Source organism: Homo sapiens, chromosome 20 (genome assembly GCF_000001405.40).
Source record: "Homo sapiens chromosome 20, GRCh38.p14 Primary Assembly".
In the NCBI taxonomy this organism is placed as follows: domain Eukaryota; kingdom Metazoa; phylum Chordata; class Mammalia; order Primates; family Hominidae; genus Homo; species Homo sapiens.
In genome coordinates, this window is record NC_000020.11 from 30,913,269 (window position 1) to 30,920,485 (window position 7,217).

The 7,217-nt window shown below is 44.3% G+C and overlaps 1 pseudogene; it reads right to left on the bottom strand.

The window, feature by feature from the left end:
- Positions 1-4,397: 4,397 nt before the first annotated feature.
- Positions 4,398-6,314, bottom strand: CDC27P5 (cell division cycle 27 pseudogene 5; annotated as a pseudogene).
- Positions 6,315-7,217: the final 903 nt, after the last annotated feature.

The window sequence follows — 7,217 nt, forward strand, 5'->3', positions numbered from 1 at the left end:
GGATCAAAAGCGTTATAAAATATGTGTAATTATTTCCTGAGCGTGCCCTTCCTCCTCCTCTCTCTGTCTCTCTGTCTCTCTTTCTCTGTCTTCTCTCTCTCTCTGTCTCTCTCTCTGCCTGTCTATTTCTCTCTCTGTCTCTCTCACTGTGTCTGTCTTCTGTCTTACTCCCTTTCTCTGCCTGTCTGTCTCTCTCTCTCTGCCTGTCTGTCTCTCTCTCTCTCTCTCTCCCTGTCTGTCTGTCTCTTTCTCTCTGTCACTGTCTCTGTCTCTCTCTGTCTGTCTCTGTCTTTCTCTGTCTGTCTCTCTGTTTCTCTCTTTCTCTCTGTCTCTGTGTGTCTCTCTCTCTGCCTGTCTCTCTCACTGTGTCTGTCTTCTGTCTTACTCTCTTTCTCCGCCAGCCTGTCTCTCTCTCTTTGTTTCTCTCTGTCTCTCTCTGTCCATCTGTCTTTCTCTGTCTGTCTCTTTGTCTGTCTGTCTGTCTGTATCTCTCTTTCTCTGTCTCGCTGTCTCTGTCTCTCTCTCTGCCTGTCTGTCTGTCTGTAGGTCTCTCTCTCTCTCCCTGTCTGTTTTTTCTCTCTCTCTCTTTGCCTGTCTGTTTCTCTGTCTCTGTCTCTCTGTCTGTCTCTCTCTGCCTGTCTCTCTCTGTGTCTTCTGTCTTACTGTCTTTCTCTGCCTGTCTGTCTGTCTCTCTCTCTCCTTGTCTGTTTCTCTCTCTCTCTGTCTCTGTTTCTCTCTCTCCCTCTGTCTGTCTCTTTCTCTGTCTCTTTCTCTCTGTCTGTCTCTCTCTTTCTCTCTGTCTGTCCATTGTCTCTGTCTCTGTGTGTGTGTGTGTGTCTGCCTTCTGTCTTACTCTCTTTCTCTGACTGTCTGCCTGTCTGTCTGTCTCTCTCTGTCTCTCTCTTTCTGTCTCTGTCTCTCTTTCTGTTTCTCTCTGTCTCTGTCCATCTCTGTCTTTCTCTGTCTGTGTCTTTATCTGTCTGTCTCTCTCTCTCTTTCTGTCTTTCTCTCTTTGTGTATCTTTGTATCTCTCTGTCTGTCTCTCTCTGTCTCTGTCTTTGTCTCTCTCTCTCTCTGTGTCTCTCGCCCGCTCTCTGGCTCTCGCTATCTCCCACCCTCTCTTTCTTTGCAAAATAAGTTCAAGTACTTCTAATCTAATCCATTACCACAGCCTGAATTCTTAACTTTAGACATCCCAGATTTGATCTCCCTACAGAATGCTGTACAGAGCTGGCGAGTTTATTTCTGGACTTGGATACCTCATAGATATTACATATTAATAAAGATCCAACCCTAAAATCTGGGGTTGTGTTTCCCTCGACTGTCTCAAAAAATCATACCTCTGTTCACCTAGGATGCTGGGAAGGTTTTCTCAATGTGCATCTGCTCGTGTCCTACATGAACTGTGACCGAGCCCTGTCCGTTCTGTCTCAAATATGTATCTGCAAACACGTCTCTCCATTTCCACAACTACCCATGGCCCATTGTGGAACCATTGGCTCTTTGAAAAAAAATCCCAGAAGTGGCTTTGACTTTTTGGCTAGGAGGTCTAAACCTGCTGAGAACTTTCCTGCCCAGGATTCTGTGTGAACAAAAGTGCCTCTGCTGGGAGCTGGGATCTTCGGGACCATGCTTGCTACCGCTGGATGAGTCTCTGGAAGGACGCACGGGACTCCACAAAGCTGACCTGTCCCACCGAGGTCAAATGGATACCTCTGCATTGGCCTGAGTCTTCCAGCTTACATCACCATCACCAAAGCTCGCCATCAGCATCCTTGTGAGCCTGCCCAAGGCCTCGACTCTGGGGAGACTCTTGGGAGCCCGGTCTTCATCGGCTAAAGTACAAAGGGATGGCGACTTCCACCCACAAGGTCCCCACTGAACTGCGAAGATGTGGAACGTAGGTCAGAGAGGGGACCTGGAGGGGAGACATCCTGACAGGCAATGAGTTAACTAGGCTCTGGCCACCCCACTCACGTCCCACGTCCCGGGCAACCGCGGGACACTGCCGCTTTATCCCCTTCTCTGTCCACAGCCGCCCCCACCCCACCCCGCAACCCACGCACACACGCTGGAGGTTACAAAACCACACGGCGTGAATACAGCCTGACGGAGCGAGAGCTCATTTCACGAGGCGGGGGTGGTGGGGTGGGGTGGGGGTTGGGGTGTCTGTAGAGAGCCCGATTCTACGATTCTACCTCGTGGGTGGCTACAGGATACAAATGAATATTGCTTCTTGGGCGGAGGGGCTTCCTTAGGCTGTCATGTTTGCGAGACTATCTCTCAAAACCTCCCTTGAGGCCACAAAACAGATTCCACCCCACCCCTCCACGTTTCCCCGGGGTGCTGGATGTATCCTGTCAAGAGACCTGAGCCTGACACGTTGAGTGAAACACATTTATTGGCTTCGTGTGTTTGTTTGTTTCTGAGATGGAGTCTTGCTCTGTCCCCCGCCCCGGCTGGAGTGCAGTGGCGTGATCTCAGCTCACTGCAACCTCTGCCTCCTGAGTTCGAGCGATTCTCCTGCCTCAGCGCCACCAAGCCTGGCTCATTTTTTTATTTTTAGTAGACACGGGGTTTGACCCTGTTTCATTGGTTTTCACTGGAGATTCTAGATTCAAGTCACACCTCATTGTGTGCCACATAATGACTTCTGTTATTTATTTATTTTTTTTTTAAAGCACAATATATCTGCTTTATTTGAGTGGCTTTATATATCGTTATAATTGTGTTATAGATGAAGAAAAGATATTAAACACAGTGCTAATGATAGTGAAAGTGAAAAACAAAAGAAAGGCTATCTATTTTGTAGTTAGAATAAATTTGCTCAGTATTTAGAGTTACCTAAATACGTCAGCATTTAAACTCCTCCTAGTAAAAGCTGGCCAATCTGAATAATCCTCCTTTAAACACAATTTTTGATATGGTTAAAGTTTTTAAGAATGTGACTCCTGCAGAATAGCTGAACAGACAATACACATTTAAAAAAGAACAACACAAGGGTCAATCAGACTTGGGAAAAAATCAAAAACAACACAAGTCTTATGAAGAACTGAGTTCTTAAAATATTACGGAGAACATAGCTATCGGAAGAGAAGGCAGTATTGGTAAGTTGATTGTTACATTTGTCAGCAAAAGCTAGCACTATTTTTTTGGCAATCTTTCAGGCACTGCAACTACTACTGCAAAATGAGATATAATCATTTAAACAACATATTCACAAATCAAAAAATGTTTTCGTAATGTAATGCTTCAGATTTAGAAGCAAATCAAGTGTTAAAACTCAACTGCTATAATAATTAACCCCAAAGATAACCGTATCTGACAAAAAAGCTTCCACAGAGTTATGACGTCAGAATTATACTTTCTCTTGATATTTATTTATGTATTTATTTATTTATTTATTTATTTATTTAATTTTATTTTTTTCTTGAGATGGCTTCTTGCTCTGTCACCCAGGCTGGTGTGCAATGGCATAATCTTGGCTCACTGCAACCTCCACTTCCCGGGTTCAAGCGATTTTCTTGCCTCAGCCTCCTGAGTATCTGGGACTACTGGCGCCCGCCACCATTCCCAGCTAATTTTGATACTTTTAATAGAGACGGGGTTTCACCATGTTGGCCAGCAAGGTATCGATCTCTTGACCTTGTGATCCGCCCACCTCGGCCTCCCAAAGTGCTGGGATGACAGGCATGAGCCACCGTGCCTGGCCTTTTCTTGATATTTAAACTTTTAAGTCAGTCCAGAAAAATACAATAAATGTCAACAGTAAGTATGGTGTTGAGGTAGAAGTAGGATCAAACTTTTTCATATGTTATTCGGTTGATAACAATATGACCTGGGTCATAATTTCCTATGTGTCTACTTATATACAAGTACAAAAAAGTAAAACAGAGATACTGCTAAATAAAAGGGTACACTAAGTTCTTAATAGTAACTCAATAAACTAGAACACTGTCAAAAAGCAGCAACTAGTGAATTTTTTCAGTGTTTTTTTCTGTTATCCAATAAGTGAATTATGCTATTCCTTTCCAATTTCCCAAGCACTTTTTGTCTCAATCACCATTTCTGTGTTCGAAGAAAAAGTAACAAATCAAGTAACAAAACTAAACAAGCAAACAAACAAACAAAACACAACTAGAGCATCTGCAAAAGTTTGGTAGAAGACTGAAACTCTTGAGTATGAGGATCTGGTATTCTATTATCATTAGTTAACTTAAGAGTTTGTTAAAGACATACATTTCATAAGAAAGCGTGTTAGTTTGAAGTTATTGACCAGTATGTACCATCCCTAAGTATTAGTAGCCAAATTCATGACAATAAAGAGCTATCTAACAAGAAAAATTAGTGACTACCAGCACCATCAACAAGACTTTGTCTTTACACTTCATTACCACTTACCGTGCATTATAATATCTAGGATTGACTCTGATAACATTTCAAAAACTAGCTAATGCTTTGTCCAATTCTTCAGTTAAGACAAACTCATGCCCTAATAGAGTATAGACATAAGCATAATTTGGATCCACTTGGATAGCTCTCTGAAAGAATTTAATTGCAATATCGTGTTCCCGTTGCAGAGTGAAACAGTCCCCTGCAGCACACCAGACCTCTGGCGAAATTTTATCCATGTCTGTTAAGTCTTTTGACAGAAATGAAAGAGCAACATCTTTTTGAAGATGCCAAAGTGTTGTAGAGTAGATTTCCATGCCTTCCACTCTATGATTCTCAATCCTTCTAACCTCTGAGAATAGTCTTTCAGCTTGCATGTACTCTGAAAGTTCAAAATAGGCCCTTCCAATTTGGCACAGTACCCAACCAGTATTGTAGTGGTGAGAAGGTAAATGGCTCAAAATATTTATAGCTTCTTTGCAGTGGTATGAACACAAAGCTAAATAACCTTTCCCCCTTTCACGAAGAAGGCTCATCAAGCCTTCTGCTGCTGCTTTTTGTAGATTAAAAGCCTGAATCTGAGGTGTGATTGTGGATATTTTCCCTTCTGAAATGATGGAAGAGTACAATTTTGTTATTTCCAGGCTGTCATTTATATTAGGTTTAGTTATTCCTCCTTTATTAGTTTTACTTTTTGTTTTTCTGTTTGGGATTTTAGGTGGAAACTGTATTTTTAATTTCTTCCTATTCTCCTTGGTTGTGGAACTGTCACTAGTCAAGAGTCGTGAACTTCTTCGATGCAGTGCATTTGAGGGAGATGTCATAGTGGGGCTCAATACCTGAGGTGTTGTACTTATTTATGGACCAGAACTTTCTGTTTGTGCAAGAATTGGAGTTACCTCTTGGCTATTTCCACTCTGTGAGAAGACAGACTTTGCTCCAATTTGGACTATTCTGGCAACAGACTTTTTTGGAGGGACTCCAGTGGATGTCACATCCATTACAGAAGCTGTATTAGTGTAGTTTTGTAAATAGGATCCAACTCCAGGACTTGGGGTTTCTAATGGCAAAATCCCAAAACTTGGGGTTAATGGACTAAGAGATGCTGGTCCTCCTAATAAACTTCGATCAGTTTTTGGTTTATTTTGAACCTGTTTAGATAATATGGAAGTTCCTGTTCCCAGTGGGACAGTATCAGATGAAATTACAGCTGAATCAATAGAAGACACTGGGGAATCTGTATTCAAGGAGTACTTTGAATTGGCAGATTCTAAATTCAATCTGTTTAATTCAGTTGTGTTCTGGGGTGTTTCTGTAAGAATGGTCTCAGGCTGTCTGTGACATAAACTATGATTAGGTACTTGTGCTTTGCAAGAGTTGGGCAGACAGTTTCTAAAGTTCTGTGAAGATGCGAATTTAAATGTTTGGTCAGGATCTGGCTTTTCACCTATTTCACATAATGATTCAAAGGGATACCAGAGGAAAGGATTTAAACTAAGGCTCTTTTGGTAGCATTCTGATCCTTTGGCAAGCCGATCTGTCTTGCAATATACATGTCCCAACAATGGAAGGGGAAAGCAAGCTGAATCACCAAACTCAGTAACAATATCATCATGGCTTTTCTGCTTATGAAACACTCCACCAGATAAGATTTGTTCCCCTTCTGCAAGCTTGCTGACATCAAAACAACATTTTGCAAGCAGGTATTTGCATTGTGGTGTAGGACAACTGTGTCCTTTCAAGAGTCTATATGCTTTATAGGTCTTTCCTGGGCGGTAAGAACAGGTCGCCAGTAAAAACAAGGCTTCTTCTGAGTGTACTTCTGCATAAAGGCGTTCTGCGAGGAAAACCCCATCTCGGTAAGCATAGTGGTTTAGTGCTTGCCATGTAGCAGCCTGGACGGGTTCCTGTAGCACCATCATCCTCGAGGCTCAGGCCCACTTTCTGCAGTGCCGCGGGCAGCCCCCCACCCCGCCCACACCCCTCCCCCCGGTAGCGGCTCCGGCAAAGCCAGCCTCAGCTCATTTAAACTCACCAGTTACCAGGGGATGGGGGAGGCCGAGCCAGAATGACTTCTTTACCCTGCCAACTGTGGAAAGCCCGGCCCCCTGTGATCCATCGCAAAGCGAGAGTCACCTCATGTTTGGAAAACGGATCCGCTCCCAAGTTCAGTGGAGGGATGTGGCATATAGGATGAAGGACTCTCTTCTTCTGATTGGGTCTGCACAGTGGGGCCTAGGGCTGGAGCTCTCTCTGTGCGGACCGCTGACTCCCTCTACCTTGGGTTCCTTCGGCCCCACCCTGGGACACGGGCCTTGGCAGATTCTGACCCTTCCTGGCACTTAAGTCGCTGTCAGAAACCCCATCTCGTCCTCGGATGCCCCGAATGACTGTGGCTCGGACCTCTCTGGAAACATTGGAAATCTCTCCTCTACGCGCGGCCAACTGAAACCACAGGAGCTCGGGACACAAGCCGCCATCCACCTCACTGCTTTCGGGAGAGAATGCTGAGTCTCTTACCGACTCTCTCTTGACTTGAGTTCTTCATGGGTGTGTCGTTAAGACGTAGTGAGACCAGATATATTAACTCAGGCCTGGTGCTGGTGGCTCACGCCTGTAACCCCAACACTTTGGGAGGCTGAGGCTGTAGGATCCCTTGAGGAATCGCCGAACCCTGTGGAGGTTGAGGCTGCAGTGAGTGAGCCATAATGGTGTCACTGCACTCCAGTCTGGGGGAAAGACAGAGTGAGGCCCTGTCACAGGCAGGCAGGCAGACAGACAACAGCTGTATTATGTTCTTCTCAGGGTAGGAAGCAAAAATAACA